The 17,886-nt window shown below is 56.0% G+C and overlaps 2 protein-coding genes and 1 long non-coding RNA gene across 19 annotated transcripts in view, besides 5 other annotated features; 1 reads left to right on the top strand and 2 right to left on the bottom strand.

The window, feature by feature from the left end:
- STARD3 (StAR related lipid transfer domain containing 3) overlaps positions 1-7,449 on the bottom strand; it is a 27,058-nt gene extending 19,609 nt beyond the window's left edge. For 10 of the 13 annotated variants that reach the window (XM_047435159.1, NM_006804.4, XM_047435164.1 and 7 more), the window contains exon 1: positions 7,362-7,449. The gene's annotated coding sequence lies outside the window, so the exon portion shown is untranslated. Of the gene's footprint in view, positions 1-5,841; positions 5,861-7,077 lie in introns of those variants that run through there. The other 3 variants (XM_047435162.1, XM_047435165.1, XM_047435163.1) reach the window with 2 other exon arrangements.
- Positions 6,778-6,897: an enhancer, noted in NCBI's record as "active region_12100". NCBI's record gives its function as "activates an Ori minimal core promoter by ATAC-STARR-seq in GM12878 lymphoblastoid cells {active_cell/tissue: GM12878}" and the evidence as "EXISTENCE:reporter gene assay evidence [ECO:0000049][PMID:35858748]".
- On the top strand, positions 7,303-9,955 carry LOC124903998 (uncharacterized). Its single transcript, XR_007065749.1, has 2 exons — positions 7,303-7,602; positions 9,567-9,955. It is a non-coding gene; the product is annotated as an uncharacterized LOC124903998 (long non-coding RNA).
- Positions 7,438-7,507: a silencer, noted in NCBI's record as "silent region_8460". NCBI's record gives its function as "represses an Ori minimal core promoter by ATAC-STARR-seq in GM12878 lymphoblastoid cells {active_cell/tissue: GM12878}" and the evidence as "EXISTENCE:reporter gene assay evidence [ECO:0000049][PMID:35858748]".
- On the bottom strand, positions 7,969-17,886 carry PPP1R1B (protein phosphatase 1 regulatory inhibitor subunit 1B). Of its 5 annotated transcripts, XM_017025216.3 has the most exons (8): positions 17,653-17,886; positions 17,120-17,287; positions 15,363-15,423; positions 15,031-15,053; positions 14,546-14,621; positions 10,507-10,710; positions 8,867-8,986; positions 7,969-8,777 (listed from the first exon to the last, which is right to left on the bottom strand). In XM_017025216.3, the coding sequence occupies exons 2-8, from the start codon at positions 17,198-17,200 to the stop codon at positions 8,728-8,730; spliced, it is 615 nt and encodes a 204-aa protein (XP_016880705.1). In that variant the 5' UTR covers positions 17,201-17,287; positions 17,653-17,886; the 3' UTR covers positions 7,969-8,727. The 5 variants fall into 5 exon arrangements, with proteins under 5 accessions (XP_016880705.1, NP_115568.2, NP_852606.1 ...); NM_032192.4 differs by lacking the exon at positions 17,653-17,886 and having other exon boundaries at positions 17,120-17,641; NM_181505.4 differs by lacking the exons at positions 17,120-17,287; positions 17,653-17,886 and adding an exon at positions 15,887-16,090.
- Positions 8,681-9,304: an enhancer, noted in NCBI's record as "H3K4me1 hESC enhancer chr17:37791542-37792165 (GRCh37/hg19 assembly coordinates)". NCBI's record gives its function as "activates a minimal SCP1, AML or CMV promoter by ChIP-STARR-seq in primed H9 embryonic stem cells {active_cell/tissue: H9 hESC(primed)}" and the evidence as "EXISTENCE:reporter gene assay evidence [ECO:0000049][PMID:30033119]".
- Positions 11,392-12,311: an enhancer, noted in NCBI's record as "H3K4me1 hESC enhancer chr17:37788535-37789454 (GRCh37/hg19 assembly coordinates)". NCBI's record gives its function as "activates a minimal SCP1, AML or CMV promoter by ChIP-STARR-seq in naive H9 embryonic stem cells {active_cell/tissue: H9 hESC(naive)}" and the evidence as "EXISTENCE:reporter gene assay evidence [ECO:0000049][PMID:30033119]".
- Positions 12,312-13,231: an enhancer, noted in NCBI's record as "H3K4me1 hESC enhancer chr17:37787615-37788534 (GRCh37/hg19 assembly coordinates)". NCBI's record gives its function as "activates a minimal SCP1, AML or CMV promoter by ChIP-STARR-seq in primed H9 embryonic stem cells {active_cell/tissue: H9 hESC(primed)}" and the evidence as "EXISTENCE:reporter gene assay evidence [ECO:0000049][PMID:30033119]".

The following is a 17,886-nucleotide window of genomic DNA, read 5'->3' as shown; positions in this document are numbered from 1 at the left end:
AAGTGCTGGAATTACACCACACTTAGGCTTTTATACCTGGCCTAGGTCTGTGATTTGAACAAAGCCACCTACTCATTGTGCAAGCCTCCACTGCTGCATCTGTAAACTGAGGCTACCTGTCTTGACCCTGGGCTGTCTGGGGGCACCAAAGGAGACAATGATAACTATAGCGTGCCTAGGACAGTGCCTGGCACCACAGAGTAACTGGTTAACGTCTAACCACATAGACATTAACTACCACCACCACTTCGAGTCTCCTGGCTCTTCCCCACCTCCTAGCCTCCCAGGGAGGGCTGGGCCAAACTTTACAAGTTCCAGCTAGAGCTTATTCCATAGAGCTGTGCCCTGGGATTCAGGGGGAGGGGGAACAAGTCTCATCTATATCCAAAGATGACTTACATCTCTGGGCAGAGTGGGTTCTCCAAATCCCCCAGAGGCTAGAGGAACAGTAGACACAGGTCCTCCACACATCCCCCTCCCATAATCCACAGGAAATGCTAGCACCAGCACCCCCTGCCCATGGGGGCTTCCCAAGGGGTCCCTAACTCAGCACAAATCAGGAAGGATCAGTGAAGCTGAGAGAACTGGACTCCACACCAGGAGATGGGTCAAACCTCAGATTTCCACCTTGCTGGTCACTTAACCTCACCATGCCTCAGTTTCCTCGCCTATAAAATGGGGTTAACAATATCACCTACTCCTTGCAGGTTTATATGGATTAAATGACTTATTCAATGCAATGGCCTAGAAGAGATTCTGACACAGAGTGGTGGCTGCATGAGGGTTAGCTGGGATTACTTTCCTGCTCTTCTCCAGAGAAAGAGAGAGTCTTGAGCTCTGACTGACTGGCGAGATGGCTTCAGGGCAGGGCTGGGGTTGTTTTGAGTCAAGCAGCCCTGTCAATGCCAAGTTAATGGAGACTCCACAGAGGGTAGAAGGCAGAGGCCCTGGGTGTGGAGGAGGTTGGCCTTGGTCTATGTCCTGCTGCTGGCTGGCCCAGGAGGGTGCCAGTTAGGGGAACGCAGGATAGCAGACCAGACAGGTTGCACTGCATCCAGATGGGCTGGTGCAGAAGACACAGATCCAGCTGGCCATGGCCTGCGGTGGCACCATGCAGACACCATCTCCTTAATGCATCACACCCCTTCCCAGAAGCTGTAGTGATGACTCATGGGAAGGAGAGCTGCCCACAGTCCCCTAGCCAGGAAGAGGCAGAGCGGAGCCGACCCCAGAGGAACATGACCTTCCCCCATGACAGGCTGGGACCTTCTAAGTACAAATGCTGCTGCCTGCAAGAGTCCTTGCTAGCTGGGGGACAGTGTGTCAAGAGGCCCTCTTTGGGCTTAGCATTCATCTGGTCACACCTCCCTTCCACATCCAAACCATGAGCAAATCCTGTTGTCTCTTCCTGCAAAATCTGGCCAGTATCTGCCCACTGCTCACCTACCACTATGTCACCCTGTCCAGGCTATCACCTCTACCTGCCACTCTTTCTTGTCTTCACCCCTTCAGCCTGTTCTCAACACAGCAGCCACAGGGATCCTGTTAAAAGCCAGATCACATCTCCCCAGTGCCCCAACCTCCAATGGCTTCCCCAGAATAAAGGCGTAAGTCCCCACCCTAGCCTACAAGTCCTCCTCTTCCCCTTTCCTCTTCCCCTTGAGCCCTCTACTCCAGCCACACTGGTCCCTCGCTGTCCACGGACACATCAAGCATGCTCCTACCCCAGGGCCCTTGCACCTGCTGCTCTGTCGGGAGCTCCTCCCCAGGTCTTTGCATGACTTGCTCTCTCATTCCAATGAGGTCCCTATGCAAATGTCCCTTTGTAGAGACCATTCCTGAACCTCTATTTAGCCCCCACCCTCCATCCCTTACCCTGCTGTATTTTTCTTCACAGCACTTGTCACCCCTGACATATGATACATTCACTGGTCTGTGTTTACTGCCCATCGTCTCCCACTGGCATGCGAACTCCATGAAAGTAAGGACTTCCTGTGCTTTGCTCCCTGCTGCATGCCCAGTGCCAGAACTGTACCAGGCTCAGAGTGGGTTTCCAGGAAATGCACTGAACGGCCATTTACACCCTTCCCTACAGCAGCACATGCACAAGTGCACATGGACACTCACGCCCAGCCGGGAGAGCAGCCCCTCCCTGCCCAGGCTGCCTCTCCTGGAGCTGGACTCCACCCTCTGTGGGGGTCTTCCCTGCCCAGAGCCCAGGCACTCCCTCCACAAGAAGGAAAGAGGAACTGGTTTCCTGGGGGTCCTCAAGCAGGGTATCTGCTCCCCTCCCTGAGCCTGACTTGTAGGGAGAAGACGTAAGGTGAGTTAACCTTGAGTCTTTGATAACAGAGGAGGGTTAAGGAGGAGGGAGGACTCCAGACCCCAGCACTCATTTTTTGCTATGGGGGTCAACACTCGCTGCCTCTACTCTGCTGATCATTGGCTGCTCCCAGGACACACCACAGCCCATCGCCTGGGCGCCCTGTTTCCTCATTCTTGAATGACCTCCTTCCTTTGGGGAGAACTCTGGCGCTTCAGAGACTAGTTCAAATGTCACCTCCGGGGCAGAGCTTCTCCTCACCCTCCAGACTCCCCTGACCTTTCAGAACTCTGGGTCAGCACTTCCCTTATCACAGCTAGATGTCTCGAGGCCATCTGTCCCAAGCCCTTGAGGTCCAAGTCACAGTCACAGTGCCTGGCCATGATACATGTCTAGTAAGTTAGCCTGTGGATCCATAATGTCCACCCTGGAACAGGGAAAAGGGTGTGGGTTTGGGGTTGGACACCAGTCCTGGAGGCAAAAACCTAAGGCCATTCCTTATTAGATTGTGTGCCCTTGACCAAATCACTGGGTTTCTCTGAACTTCAGTCTCCTTTTCTGTAAAATGGGGAGAATATAGTACCTACTTCACAGAGCTTGAAGGGATTAGAAACAACACATGCACAGTGTCTGTGCTTAATTAATAGCAGCTATTACTACTATTACCCATGGGGACAGTGTTAGAGGCAGGACCCTGGCCAGGCAGGTCCAGCATAGCACTTTGCCCAAACTGAGAGTCCCAGCAGTACTGCAGAATGGAAGGGTAGACCCTGGCTTCAGGGGGCTGACCCAGAATGACACTTTTTTTTTTTTTAAGAGACAGGTCTCACTATGTTGCCAGACTGGAGTGCAGTGGCTGTTCACAGGCGCGATCATAGGACACTGTGGTCTCAAACTCCTGGGCTCAAGCAATCCTGCCTCAGCCTCCCAAGTAACTCTGGGTCAGCATTTCCCTTATCACAGCTAGATGTTTCAAGGCCATCTGTCCTAAGCCCTTGAGGTCCAAGTCACAGCCACAGTGCCTGGCCACGGTACATGTCTAGTAAGTTAGCTAGTCTGTGGATCCGTAATGTCCACCCTGGAACAGGAGAAAGGGTGTGGGTTTGGGGTTGGACATCAATCCTGGAGTCAAAAACTTGGGAGTAGGTTCCCAAGTAGTTGAGCCTACAGGTGTGCACCACTGCGCCTGGCTAGGATGGCACATTCAGGGTTACTGGCCCATGCCATCAGCCTCGGGATGGTTGGCTGACTGGCCCTACTATAGCCCTCCACAGAGGGTTTGGGAAATCCCCTGGAGAAGTGGGAGTGTAGGGAGAGGAGGACACAGCTACAGTGACAAATAAGACCCAAAGCCAAAGCCTGGCTCTGTTTCTCCTTTCCTTCTGAGGAAGCGGAAGGGGAAGAGTTAAGCCAAATAGAAACAAGACTCACCACCACACACTTCTCCCCCCAGCCGGGGAGGCTCTGCGGGTGCAGTGTACAGGAAGACCCTAACACACTGAGATCTACTTGCCCTCCCTTCCCCCTTGTGCCAGGCCCTGTGAATCATCAGGGATGCCCCCAGTTCTGTGATTCCATGACCCCTGACCCACTCAGGGCCAGTGAATCAGGCCCCACCTGCCCTCTTCGTGCTGCTATGTAAACCAGTGAGGTCAAGTTCCCAAGGTTAGTCTGGAAACGGCTAGTCATCTTCCAGGAGAGATCTCAGCCCTCTCAAGAAAAGGCCCCCATAGGGCAAGGGACAAGGGGTGGGGGGGTTGGGGGGATGGAAGGGAGCCGGTTTCAGCACAGGATCCTCCAGGCACCAACCCTGCCTGGACAAAGCCAGGATTAGCCTCTCCTCAGCCAGAAAAAGGGACACTTTTCTTTTGTCCCACTGATGTGGCACCTGCCCCCTTGGAGGCTGGGACCCCAAGGCAGTTTCTGGGAGACATGCAGACCTGGAGTCAGGAGACAGCTCTTTAAATCCCTGCTGAGTGATCTTGACCTTACCTCCCCTGAACCTCAGCTTCCTCATCTGTAAAGTGGAGCCAACAGGCTCTCGCATTCAGTGGAACAGGCACAAGCTGCCAGATGTGCCGGATTTTTTATCTCCCCCGCACCGCTCTCCCTTAACAAGTCTAGCTGTGTGAGAGCTCAACTTAATGCAACATGCGGGTTCCAAGGGCCTACAGTATGCTGGACACAGTGCAAGTCCTGGGGCCACAGGACCCTGTTCTGGTCCATCAGGGACTCTGGGTCTGGTGAGGAAGACTGGCAGATAAATAATACCATGCTGTGATCAGCGCTTTCAGGGAGGAATGAACAAAGGACCGTGGGCTCCCAGAGAAGGGATCATCTGACCCAGGCTGGAATGAGTGAAGTCAGAAAAGCCACAGGGAGGAGGGGCCATCTGACCCTGGCCTTGAAGAGTCAGCATCTATCAGCTGGAGGCAAGGAGGGTGGGCATTACAGGGAGGCAAAAGAGCTCCAAAGAAGGCCCAGCCCAAAGGCATGCACAATGGCCCTACCCAGGGGGCCTGGTCCCAAACACCAGGTACTAGGCCTCCGGAGCATAGTTGCCCCCAGGCATGGTCCCTGCTGGCTCCCAAGTCAAGGGATGCTTCCTCATGGCCAATACAGGAAAGGAATTGCCAGCGTCAGCAAAGGACGCTGCCTCTGTCTTCCTCAGCTCCGTCTCCCCTGTTCCCCCACCCAGCCACCATCTACTGGAGCTCTGTTCAGAGGACCCAGCTTTCTGATCTCTGAGCCCACTCCAGCCTCTGCCTCCCTCTGATAAAATCCTCCCATCGCTTTATAGGCCCCATTAACTGTCAGCTCCTCAGAAGCCGCCCCTGGTCTTTTTCTCCCTCTAGTTCCCAGATCTATACATTTCTCTAGATTTAATGCTTGCCATGTAACACACACACACTTCCAGACTGGTTTTCCTGAGCAGACCAGGTCTGAGCCTTTTTCACTCTTGAATCTTCACTCAATAAATCCAGACCCTGCCCCCAGTGTCCTCCACTCCAGCATTTTATTTATTGGCAAAGAGCCAGGCTCTATCCAATGACTAGTAAGCCACTTCAACCATCCTCAGGCAACTTATGAAATTAAAAATCATAACTGGTGAACTATGTTGTCCTTACATAATAGTAATAACTTTTTATTTATTTATTTTAGAAACAGGATCTCACTCTGTCCCTCACACTAGAGTGCAGTGGCACAACCATATCTCGTTGTAACTTCAAATTCCTGGGCTCAAAGGATCCTCCCACACGTACCACCATGCTCAGCTAGTTTTTTAAATTTTTGTAGCGATGGGGTCTCACTATGTTGCCCAAGCTAGTTGCAAACCCCTGGCCTCAAGCGATCATCCTGCCTTGCCTCCCAAAGTACTAGGATTAATGCATGAGCCACTGCACCCAGGCAACTCACTTTAATTTATTGAGCATTCTTGTGCCTAGCACTGGTTTAAGACCTAAACATACAATATTCCATTCAATCCTCACAACTCTATGAAGTAGAGACATTCCTACCTCCATTTTACAAGTGAGGAAATTGAGGCACTGACTTCATCAAGGTTACCAAACAGGTCAGAACCCAGGCAGTCTGATCCAGGAGTCTGTATTCTCAGCTACTATGCTATTATGGACAGGGTGCTACAGGACACAGAAGGGCAATTAACCTTGGGGGTTAGGCGGAGGCAGCGCTGCCTGCGCTGAAAAACATGTAGAAGGTAGCCCAGCAGACAAGAGAAGGAGGAGGTTTCCAAGCAGCGGGGGCTGGTGTGTGCAAAGTCATGAAGATACGAACAGCAAGGGTAGGCATGGCGCATGCTGCAGTGCCGTATTATTGGACCTTAGGGTGCACACAGGAGACTGCTAGGTCAGATCACAGAGAGCTGTGTAAATTGTGCTAGGGGTTCAGCACATAGGCAATAGAAAGCCAGAAAAAGGTTATCAGCAAGGAACTGGCACCGTAAGACTTGTGTTCTAAAAGGATCACAAGAGTTACAGTTTGGAGACTGGGTTGCAAGCTGCCAGGGCTGGACTGTTGGGAATTGACAATACATCAACAGCGTGGTAACAGAAGAGATGGAGCTGGCCCAGGTTTGAAGGATGTTCAGGAAGTTGGCAGTACTAGGTCACTTTTAAGATGTGGGACTTGAAAGAGAGGAGAAAGTGTAAGGAAATTACCAGACTTCCGGCTGGGTTGGGGTAGAGGAAGAATTAATCTGCAAGGAAAAGACCAGTTCAAGTTTGGACCCAGTGAGCTCCATGTGAAGCAGAGCTGTCCCAATGGCCGCTGGATGGGCAAGCGTGGAGCTCCAGGGAAGGGCTGCGCTGAAGATGTGGATCTGGGTATTTAGTTGGTGTAAAGCTGAAGCCGTGGGGGAAAATAAGACCACTGAGATTCAGTGTACAGAGCGAGGGGTTGGGCGACAGAGGAAAACGTGAAGCGGGACTTTGACCGACTGTCAGAGCGGTACGAAGAAAACCAGGAGACATTGACTAACCCAAAAATGCGGGGTGAGGGAACGTGTCATTAGAAATGAGTGTCAATGGTACTATGCACCTCTAAGAACTCAAGACTTCAAAGGGCCCTTTTAATACCAATTAGGAAGTTATTCACGGCCGTTTCGAAAGGAAGTTGGGGAGACACGGGATGACACTGAGACGCAGAGCTACCGGAATGCGTAGATGTTTTCCTCTCACCCCAGATTCCGACCCCTCCCCATACCTGCCCCTGCTCATAACACCCAGACACCTCACCCTCTCCTCTCCCCTCAGTTAAGACGGAGGCTTTGGAAGGAGATCCCGAACGTCCTCCCCGGGCTCCCCAGGATAGGCGGGGTCGCCAAGAGTCATTGCTGGAGACCCCAACCCGCGCGGGGCGGCGCGAGGCCAGACAGAGGAAGGGGGCGGAACCTGAGACGCAGCGGGTGTGGGAAGGGTCGGACGGAACCCAGCACGGACAGCGGGCGGCGAAGCGGGTTCGACCGGCGGAAGACGGCCCTCGCACGCCACCCGCTCCCAGCGACCGCTCCGGGACCCACCTGCTCCATGTCAGCCACGGCCCCGGCTCTTCCCGCCCCAACCGCAGTCCGGCTCCGCGGCCTCAGTAGCGCCTCAGAGCGGAAGAAGATCTTCCGGCAGCGCCACTTCCGCCGCTGAGTCCGCCCCCGAGAGCGAAGCGGGACTTGCGTTCGCCTGCGGCCCCGCCCCTTCGCCCCGCCTCCAGCCCCGGCCCTGCGCAGAAGCGGACTCAAAGGCCGGAGTCTAAGGGCCTACCTAAGGGTAGGGGAGTGGGAAGAAGACCAGGGCCGTCGTTATTAGGCCACACAGGCCTGGCACTGAGGGAAAAAGGGGAATTTCCCGAGGGGAGTCCTGTGGGGATGGGGAAATCTTTGGAGGAATCCAGTTATTCGAGAAGGACTTCCCCACCCCACCTGCCTCCTTCAGCCATCCCAAGCAGCAGCTAGAACTTCTGTAGTTCTTCCTCTGAGTGCCCCGAGCCTGCTGTCTGCCAGAAAGACTCCTAGACTAGAGGATTGGACAGTAGGGTCAAAACCCTAACCCTTGGTTGACCACCGGCCTTCCCTATCAGGACGCCCCATTACCTCCCTTTTCCTCCTGCTTCCCCTGAAAGAGGAGTCTCAGCAGTTATTTACAAAGATTTATTACAGCACGGGAGGGGTTCAGGCCTGGAGTCAGGGAAGAAGGGGAAAGGGGCAGAGCAGCTGGGGGACAAGGAAAACCTGGCGCCCCCCGCTGTGTGCCCCACCGGGGACATAAACTAGGCGGCATTCCTGGCATCAAAGCACAAAACGCAACAAAGAGGTCTCTGCCAGTCCATCTTCCAGGCACCCAGGAGGAGCAAGGGTGATTAAGGGAAGATTCCCAAAATGTTGAGGCTATGGAGAAAAACGCCTTAGTCCTGGACCCTGGTAGAAGCCGGTGAGAGAAGTGGTGACTTGGAATCCTCCATAGGAAAGTGGGTAGAAAAGGATCTAAGGGTACCTCAAGGTTCTCAGGACCTCCTTTCCCCAGATCTTAGGGTCCTGCCCTGTGGGTCTCCTGTGTCCAGGGGAGAGGATCTGGGGAGTAGAATTGTGAAGGGCAAATCCCTGTTCCCGGTTTTCTGGATTTTCCAATGTGGGCTGTCTCACATCCCACCTCCCGCTGGGTGAATGGAGGAATGACTGGCAGGGGTGGGCATCAGGCAGCAAGTGCCCAGGTTCTCTGGGTATCAGCCAAAGGTGGGCAAACAAGCAAACACAGACCAGCCTTAGTCTTCTAGAAGTCAGAAGCCGCAGCCCTAGCAGGCGAGGGGAAGAGCACAAAACAGGGTGAGGATAGAGTGGGTTTCTGGGGAACAGCGATGTCCCCTCCACTTCCTCCTGGGAGATGCAGGCTGGGTGCCTATGTGCCAGGCTCAGAGGGGGAAGGGCGCTGAGGTTCCTCCCCAGGCTCTGAAAGGCAAGCAGAGAGGGACTCAGGGCCTGGCCCCACCCACCAAGATCCCAGCCCCTCCTCCCCATTTCACACTCCCAAGCCTTACCACTTAGTGCTGGGTCTTCCACTTGGTCCTCAGAGCCTCCATCTCTCTCGGACTCATCCAGAGGGGGTGGGCGCTCCCAGGGCCCTTCCAGACCCTGGCCACAGGTTGTCTTTTGCCCAGCTGGGGATGGGAAAGAAGAGATAAGAACACAGGCTCTGCGTATCCATCCGGCTGTCCTGGAGTGTGAGCTAAGTGTCTGATGGCTGAGGTTAAGCTTTCCAGGGGCATCATGGAAGCATGGAGAGAGAACTGGGCTAGAACAGCTCTCCCAGCAACTAGCCATATGGCTTACGTAAGTCAGTTAGTACCTTTCTGAAGGAAATAGAAAGGGGGAAATTGTGTAGATTACCTTAAACAAGATGTAATAGTGAATACCCTGCCCAGCCCAGCGCCAGCACCCAGGAGCCACTAGGAGTCGTGGTGGTTTATATTGCTCCATCATAGGACTATCATTTGACCCGGTGCCCTTCTGCATTTTTTGTTTGTTTGTTTTTTTTTGTTGTTTTGTTTTGGTTTTTTGTTTTTGTTTTTGAGATGGAGTCTCACTCTGTTGCCCAGGCTGGAGTGCAGTGGTGCGATCTCAGCTCACTGCAACTTCCACCTCCCAGGTTCAGGGGATTCTTCTGCCTCAGCCTCCCAAGCAGCTGGGATTACAGGTGTGTGCCACTGTGCCTGGCTAATTTTTGTATTTTTATTACAGATGGGGTTTCACCATGTTGGCTGGACTGGTCTTGAACTCCAGACCTCAAGTGATCCGCTAGCCTTGGCATCCCAAAGTGCTGGAATTACAGGCATGAGCCACCGCACCCAGCCACCTGCTGCTTTTCCTGAGGGAACAGTCTCCTCTCACCCCTCTTCCACTGTTTTGGAGGGGTCTCAGTGAGGACTGATTCAGGTCTTCCAGCTGTCTCTTGCCCACAAAGGGACTGAAGCCCAGCAACAGCTTTTGCCCCCATGGCCAATCTCTTCACTGCCAGATATGCAGGCAGGAGGCCCAAGGCCTTTTGTTTGTGTGGAAGAGCTGACAGCTTCTAGTAGGGGTGGTTGACTCTTCAGTATTCCCATAAATAATGAGACTAAAAAGGTTAATGGGCCGGGCTGGTTCTTGAATTTTAAATTCTACATCTAAACACTAGAGGGCACCCTCCCACTCCATCCTAGGAAGGAAAAAGAGGAGAAACAGACAACAGTCCTGGAGAGGGCAAGTAAATGAGGCAGCCCTCTGCACCCCAGCAGAGACCACATCCTAGGTTCAAAAATGTAGGTGAAATGCAGGTGACAGGGGTGTTGGACTCTCCTGGTCCTCCATCCCTGAATGTCCTCACGCCCCCTTACTGCCATAGGTGGGAAGTCCTCTTTTGGCTCTAGCCTCAAACCCCAAACGGCCTTGGCCTTAATTCTCAGGGAAGAGAGGAATTATTAGGGAAAACCTGATTGGGAGAGGGACTGAGCCAAGGATGGAGGAAACCCATGTCTCAGGTAGGGCTGAGTTCGGGGCACCCCATGGAGCGAGAAGACAGGGAGGCCCCTGTGGTGTCACTACAGTTTGCGTGTATGAGACACTGAACTAGAAGGGGACGTCCTCGTATACTCAAGGAGGACCCACAGCTAATCCACATGTCACAGGCCCCTCAGCTTACCAGACTGCCTGATGACCTTCAGGACTTCAGCCTGGCTGTCCTCTTCTTCTTCCTCTTCTTCATCATCCTCCTCTTCCTCCTCATCTTCCTCTCTTGGATAACCCAGCTCCCGAAGCTCCCCCAGCTCATCCTCCTCCTCTGAGGCCTGGTTCTCATTCAAATTGCTGATAGACTGCAGGTGAGACTCAGCAATGCGCTGCACAGCTGGCACAGAGGAGACCGAGGAAAGCAAGGGTCAGCTAGACACAGCCCATGGATCTGGAGATAGCCTGTGGCCTAGCCCCCAGCCTCCTTCCCGTAGGCCTGGGGCAGAGAATACCCCCTCAGGGGCCCAAGTTCAAAGGCCAAAGTTGACAGGTCAGCCTGATGGGTGTCAGACCAGGGCAGAGGCAGCCAGGGGTAGATTTGATCATGTTTGGCTCTTAAGCTGTCCTAAGATGCTAGCCCCCAGGCAGCTCCCCCACACCATAGGGCACTAGGCTGGGCAAGACCAGGCGGGCACAGCAGCAGCTTAACATTCCCTGGCTGGAGAGCTTGATTTTCCAAGTACCCAGTACGGGAGACAGTGTCTCCCAGCTTCAAGCCCAGGCAGAAGGCACAGGGCGTAGGAACCAGGGCCTGGGGATTTGCCACTTTCCATTTCTTGGGGGTGCCCAGCCTGCTGAGGGCTCACTGCTTACCCTGATCCTACCTCCCATGCGATGCATAGTCCCCACTCCCTGGCACTGCCCAGTCATAGATGCCAATCCACATACTCCTGCCCCGGGCTCCAAGGGACAGAACAATTCCGAGGCTGAGGACATAATAGTCTGCAGCCAGTGCAGTCTGTGCCGGGGGATGCGGCATGCTCAGATGCGGCCCCCACAATCTTGACCCACATCCCCAGGTTCCCAGCTCCCTCTGCGGTGACCTAGAAAGCAACCCCCCCAGCCTCCAAAGACCTGCTCAGATAGGGCTGGGAAGGGAACAGTGTGGGCAGCTGGAGACAAGTTTCCAAAAGATGGAAAGGAGCAAGGGGTTAGAGAAAGGGGCCAAGGCCAGGGGTTCTGGGGGATGGCAGAGGTTGAGGGGCCACTGAGGAGAGGCTGCAGGAGCTGGCAGGATCTTAGAACATATGCGACACAAAGTTCACAGGCCACAGACAAGATGCTGAGGAGGGGCTGGGGGTGGGGAATGGGGAGTTGCTGCAGTTCCTTCTTGGTCTGCCAGTGGCCCCTCCCCTCAGAAGGCCCAGAGGGGTAGGGCCAGGCTGGAAACCTCCGGCACAGTGAGCAGGGTGCTATGCTCCTGCCAACTCGGGGACAGGCACAGAGGGTGCTTTGTATGTGCCCGCTGCCCCACCCAGCCCCCAGCTCCCAGCCCAGTACCTCCTGCTGGCTCTGGGCAAGCTATCCAGGCAATAAAAGCACAATAAATCACCCTACCCTGACCTTGGGGACGCGGCAGAGCTTCATCTTGAGCCAAGTGTGAGAGCTCCAGCCTTGGAGCACAACCCCTCAAGCTAAGACTTAGTGCTGTGCCCCTCTCTCTAGGGCCCTCGATTCTTCCCTGACAAGCCCCAACCCTGCCGGGCACCTTCCCTTGCCCACAAAAGGACTGAAGCCTACAAAACAGTGCCCTCCTGGTAGAGAAGGATCCATGAGGGCTGTGGGGGGAGGTAAGGCAGGAGAGCAGGTGGCAGCCCAGGCAGCTTCCTTCTCCCCCAGCGGGGGAGGAGAGTTCACTTCGTGAGCCACAGTGACAACAGAAGGTGTGTGCGGTGCTTGCGCTGGTGCCCCGTGAGCCTCCCTCGCTTCCCCCACCTCCCTCATGCCTCCTGGGCTCTCTGGGGTCTCCCCATCACTCCTTCCAGGCTGTCTCCTTCTCTGCCCCACTCTGTGGGGCCCCAAACTCCCCCCACCACAAGTCTTCCTTCTTCAGTTGGAAGGTCCCCAGCCTTGCCCCAGACTGGCCACCCCTCTCCTGATCCCTTTCCTCTTCCCTGCCTCTACTCACCTGGACTCTCCTAAGATGTGGCCTAAAGGGGCAGTTGAGGGGGTGCACAATTTTGACCACTGCACGGTGCATGGTAGCACCCTGGCCCTAACATCTTCATCCTGGCCTGTTCGCCCATGCTTGCAGTCAAGAGCCAGGTCTTCCCCTCACATCCACCCAGCCTCTCCCTACCCAGCCCAAGGTGGGAGGGAGAGGGATTTCTTAAATTCTCTCCTGAGAAGATGACACTCTGTCCCTCATGCCTGCTTTGGGGCCCTTCCACACACCCCTCTAGGTGGGGAGGTCCTTCCAGGTGCTGAGCCACACTGCCCACTTGCTGCAGCTCTGACCCTTCATTTTCCTGTCCTGGGGAAAGCAAAATAACCCCTTCCCTTCTCTCCTCCCTTCCCAGCCTCTCCTCTCTGTTCCCAACCCTGGCAAGTGGGCTGACAGGTATACCTGTTGACCTTGGCTGGTGCTGGGAACTTATTAAACCCTCCCCCGAACCACTTCCCAGCATACTCTTCCGGTAGCTCTCCCTCCCAACCTCCGCAGGAGCGGAGGGGGCTGGCCGGGCAGGAAGAGCCCCAGGCAGGAGTTGAGGTGGGGGGTTGGTAGGCAACAGGGCTTAGTCAGGAAGAGGCCCTCCTATGTCCTTCAGGTATATCTCCCCAGCTCCCTGACTAGAAACGAAGCCTCCTCCAGGTTGGCCCAGAAGTCCCCCTCTGACTCGCATCTCTTTCTCTTTGCACACCTTCTTCCCTCTTCTTGGACCTGGGATGCCCTTGCCTGCCTGTTAAATTCCTATGATCCTTCAAATCCAAGCTTAAACATCTTTGTGTACCTTCCTTGACCCTTTTCTTTTTTTATTTTTTCCCGAGACAGGCTCTCACTCTGTAGCCCAGACTGGAGCACAGTGGTGCGATCATAGCTCACTGCAGCCTCAAACTTCTGGGCTCAAGCAATCCTTGTGCCTTAGCCTCCCAAGTATCTGGGACTATAGGTGTGCACCTCTATGCTTAGCTCACTTTTTTTTTTTTCTTGAGACAGAGTTTTGCTCTTTTTGCCCAGACTGGAGTGCAATGGTGCGATCTCAGCTCACCACAACCTCTGCCTCCCGGGTTCAAGTGATTCTCCTGCCTCAGCCTCCTGAGTAGCTGAGATGACAGGCATGCGCTACCACGCCTGGCTAATTTTGTATTTTTAATAGAGACAGGATTTCTCCATGTTGGTCAGGCTGGTCTCAAACTCCTGACCTCAGGTGATCTGCCCGCCTCGGCCTCCCAAAGTGCTGGGATTACAGGCGTGAGTCACTGCGCCCGGCCCGCTTAGCTCACTTTGTAAATTTTTCATAGAGATGGGGGTCTCACTGTATTGCCCAAGCTGGTCTCGAACTCCTAGGCTCAAGCAGTCCTCCCGCCTTGGCCTCCCAAAGTGCTGGGATTTCAGGTGTGAGCCACCTTACTTGGCCCCTCCCTGACCCTTTGAGGCAAAGAGCCCCAAGGGGGCAGGGACCAAATCTGACTCATCTTATTCTGCCCAATGCCCACCAACTTGGCCTGGCATATACTAGGTGTTGAGTAAGTGTGCAAAAGGAATGGCTTGCTTTTCCATGGAGAAAGGGAAGCAGGAAAGAGGAGACCAGTGTGCAGATCTGTGCAAATGGGATGCAAATGGGAGGGGAGGCCAGGGGTGAAGCCCACAGGAGAAGGCGCCCTGGATGAGCAGGGGTGGGAGGTGGTCCACCACAGGCTGGTGAAGAGGAGCTGCAGGTGGAGTCCCTTCCACGCGGATGCCTGCTGGTTGTCTTAGGCCAGCCATCTCTTTTCTTTCAAGCCCACAACCCGATGTTAAGGCCCATAGCTGCCCATTGCAGCCTCGGGACTCCTGTGTTTTGCAAGGCCAGACTGAGAAAAAATTGGTCTTTACGTTGGGTTGTTGCGCCACGCTGACAGCGGGCTATGTGTGGCGAAACAATCCCTCCCCACTGACAAAAGCTCCCCTAGCGTCTGCCCAGTTCCAGGGATCAGGCGGACAGCCAGGAAGGTCGGTGGGGGTATAGTACCTTTCAGCGAAGGTGGTGTGTAGGCACAGGGGTTGGGTCTCTTCGACTTGAGATGGTGCCCCTCTCCTGAGGCTCTCTGCCAGGGGAAGTGCCAGGTTAAAGGGGCTCAGCAGAGGCCCTTGCCTTCACCATCCCTCCATTCCATCCCACCCATGGCCACCCAAGCAGACTGATTTAGCCACTGCTAATGGGTCCTGCACCTAGGCTGAGCCTCCCCACCCTGTGGCTTTAGGGGGGGCCCCCCATAAGCCATGGCCTGGTTCAGGGCAGGACTCTAGGTCCAGGAGGTTCCACCCTGAGTCTGAGCAGAGGAGGATCTGCTGGTGGCACCCTGGCATGAGGCACTCTCAGAGGACTGCCCATTGATATGCTAATGTGTCCTCTTGGGTGGCACCCCATACTGGTTGGTTGTCACTGCAGGCACCCGTCCACCCCACCCCAAGGGGCCCAGGCATCCCTCCTTCCAGCTGCCCCAGGAAACTCACCTGGTGGGGGGAGGCTTCCTCCTCTGAGGAAGGCCACCAAAGCCAACCGAACCAGAACCAAGCGAGGAGGAAAAGAGAAGAGGGAGAGAGAGAAAGAATCCGAGTTATTTTCCCCAGGGTCTCAATCTCTGGGGACAGGGAAAGTGTGCCCTCTCCCTCCTGCGGCTGGGAGGTGTCATGTCAATAAATAAAGCCAATAGAGTTGGGTTCCCAGACCTTATCCACTCCCCAGTCTCCAGCTTTGACTCCTGTTCATGGGACTTTGGCAGGGCCCCTAGGAAGGCATCAGAGCTAGGGTGGGGCCAGGGCTAAGTGGGCAGGGAGGGGCCTACCTGGTGAGGAGTGCTCTGAGAGCCGGAACAGCATGGCAGGCGTTGGTCTCCTGCGCCGGATCTAAGGAGATGGAGGGAGGGGTGACTGGATGGACACCTGCAGCCCTCCCCCACCCCCAGGCAGCAGGGAACAAACAGTGCTTTGGAGTCCCCAGGGAACCTTTGAATCAAAGTCTGTCAGAGCCAAAAGGAACTCTGTAGCTCACCTAACCCCCTCATTTTACAGAGGTGAAAAAGCAGGGCTCAGAGAGATTTGGCAATGTGCTTAAGGCCACACAGCACAACAAGTCCAAAGGACGAGAAAAACCCCAGTCACTGACTCCCAGCCCATGCCTGTCCCACTCCATGGCTACTCCAGAACAGACATCTCCCTTCCTATCTTCTCCCACCAAGGCCCTTCCTCTCTCCAGTTTCTGAAAACATCAGACCTCGGAAGCCAAAGCTGGCTACAGCTCCAGCTGCCACGGCTGGGCCCTCTGGGGAAGATGCCCCACGGGCCATGGCACCCATGTGGCCCTGCCCACCTAAGATCAGCTCAAGGGCTTCAAACAAGCTGGATCCAGCTTTTCAGAAGGAGACTGAGCCAGCGCACTGCAGGCACCCCCCACCTCCAGCTGAGGCTCAGGGACCCAAAGGGGCCTGGGGGACCTCTCTGGGGGCCTTGGTTTGGGCTTCTTTTCCAGTCTCTGTAAGGCTGCAGAACTCTTCACCCAGTCCTTGTGAGAAATGAAAAGTTGCCCTCCTTGCTACGTGAGCCAAGCAGCAACTGACCGCCCCCCTCCCCGCCCCGCCCCTCAGCTTGGCAATCAGACCAACTGTCAGTTAATTAGGTCCCTGTTGAGCTCCAGGGAAATGCACAAAGAGAACCAGGTGAGTTAAGCTGAAACTGCCACCTCCCCAGCCAAGCTCCCCATGACACCCTCATGACCCAAAGCTGCTTAGGCCCAGGACTGTACCCCCTGCCCTCTATCTCCCCCCATAATGACTTGGCCCCCTCATCACTGCTCAGTGGGGAGCCAGCTGCATCTCAGCTCAGCAACAAGTGACCCCTGCTCCACTAGGGATGGGAAGTGGAGCTCTCTGTCACAGCACCCGCCAGCCTTTGGAAGCCCCTCAACCCCCAAGAAGGCCCTCAGGAGGACTCAGTAGTCTGTGGGAAGAGGTCTGGCTTTGTGATGACTCCCCACCTCTCCCTCCTTGGGGTTGGGGCTCTGGGGCCTGACAGCAGGAGGCCAGAGCCAGGTTCTGGAGACCCCAGCCCAGGCACACACGCGGGATTAGAGAGGGGCAGGGTAGTGGATTCACCCGGTGGCAGCCTCATACTCCTGCCCTGGGTGACAAGGTCAGTGTCCACCGCTGCTCACATCTGACCAGCTCTGGGACAGAGCCAGGCGGAGCGGTCCCGGTGGTAGCCTAGGAGACTGACTACCCTTTGGGGACTGTGCTGGGACCAAAGGACGCCCCCACCCCACTCCTGGGCGGTCTGGAATCGGCCTGTCCCCCCACCCCCGCACCCCCAGCCTCACTGCCAGGAACTCTCTTGCCCCGGGATCAGGACCAAAGCCGCGGGGAAAAGTTGCACGAGTCTCCAGCTAACTTCACACGCGGCCCCGCGCCCCGTCCTGACCGAGGCAGAGCCCGGCTCTCCTTGCGCCCCCACCCCCAGGCCAGTCCGGCCGGGGCAGCGCCTTGGGAGGGCGAAGAAGCCCCGCGGGGTGTGTCGGGTACGCTGCCGGGGTGGGGCACGGGCCCCTTACCATCTCCACCTGGCGGGGGTCGAGCTGGCTAGGGGGCGCGGGCACCGAGAACTGGATCTTCTTGCGGTCCTTGGGGTCCATGGCGCGCGGGGTGGGCGGTGGGGCTGGGGTGCGCGACTCGGGGTCCCGGCGGCGGTCTGTGCTGGGCTCCCCCGCGCAGGCGGCGGGCTGTGCGGCGAGAGGAGGAGGAGGGCTGTTCGCGCACGGATAAAAATACCGTGCCCGCCGAGGGGAGGGCGCGGGAGCGGGAGGAGGGTCGGCGCCCGGGCTGGGCGCGCCCCCAGGCTCTCGGGACTCGGGGCTCGCCCCCCGCGCTCGCTGAGCCAGGTCTGTGCCTCGCTCCCTCGCGCTCCCCGGCCTGGGTGTCTCTGCGTCTCGGTGTCTCTCCCCTCCTGAGTGTCTCTGCGTCTCGGTGTCTCTCCCCTCCTGAGTGTCTCTGCGTGTCTCCTCTCTCTGCCTCTCCCGTCCTTCTCCACCTCCCTCCCTCAGCCTCTCCTCCTCTCCGCGTGTGTCTCTGCCTCTGCCGGGCTCACCCTCCGGTCCCAGCTTTGGGGTCCCCAGCCCGTCCCCTCCGCCTGGGACTGGCGCCCGGGTGCTCGGAGGGAGGGTTTAGGGGAAACTGGCCAATGAGCATGGAGAATCGTGTTCTCCTGGGGCTGGGAGGAGGGTGGGAGTTAGAGCCAAGGCCTGGGGAGCCAGCTGGGGGGCCCCCTGCGGTCTCCCCAGAACTTGAAGCTGCATTATTGATGGAGTCCAGCAGAGAGGAT

This window comes from Homo sapiens, chromosome 17 (genome assembly GCF_000001405.40).
Source record: "Homo sapiens chromosome 17, GRCh38.p14 Primary Assembly".
Taxonomy (NCBI): domain Eukaryota; kingdom Metazoa; phylum Chordata; class Mammalia; order Primates; family Hominidae; genus Homo; species Homo sapiens.
Note: the sequence above shows the minus strand (reverse complement) of the source record. Positions and strands in the feature narration are given on the sequence as shown.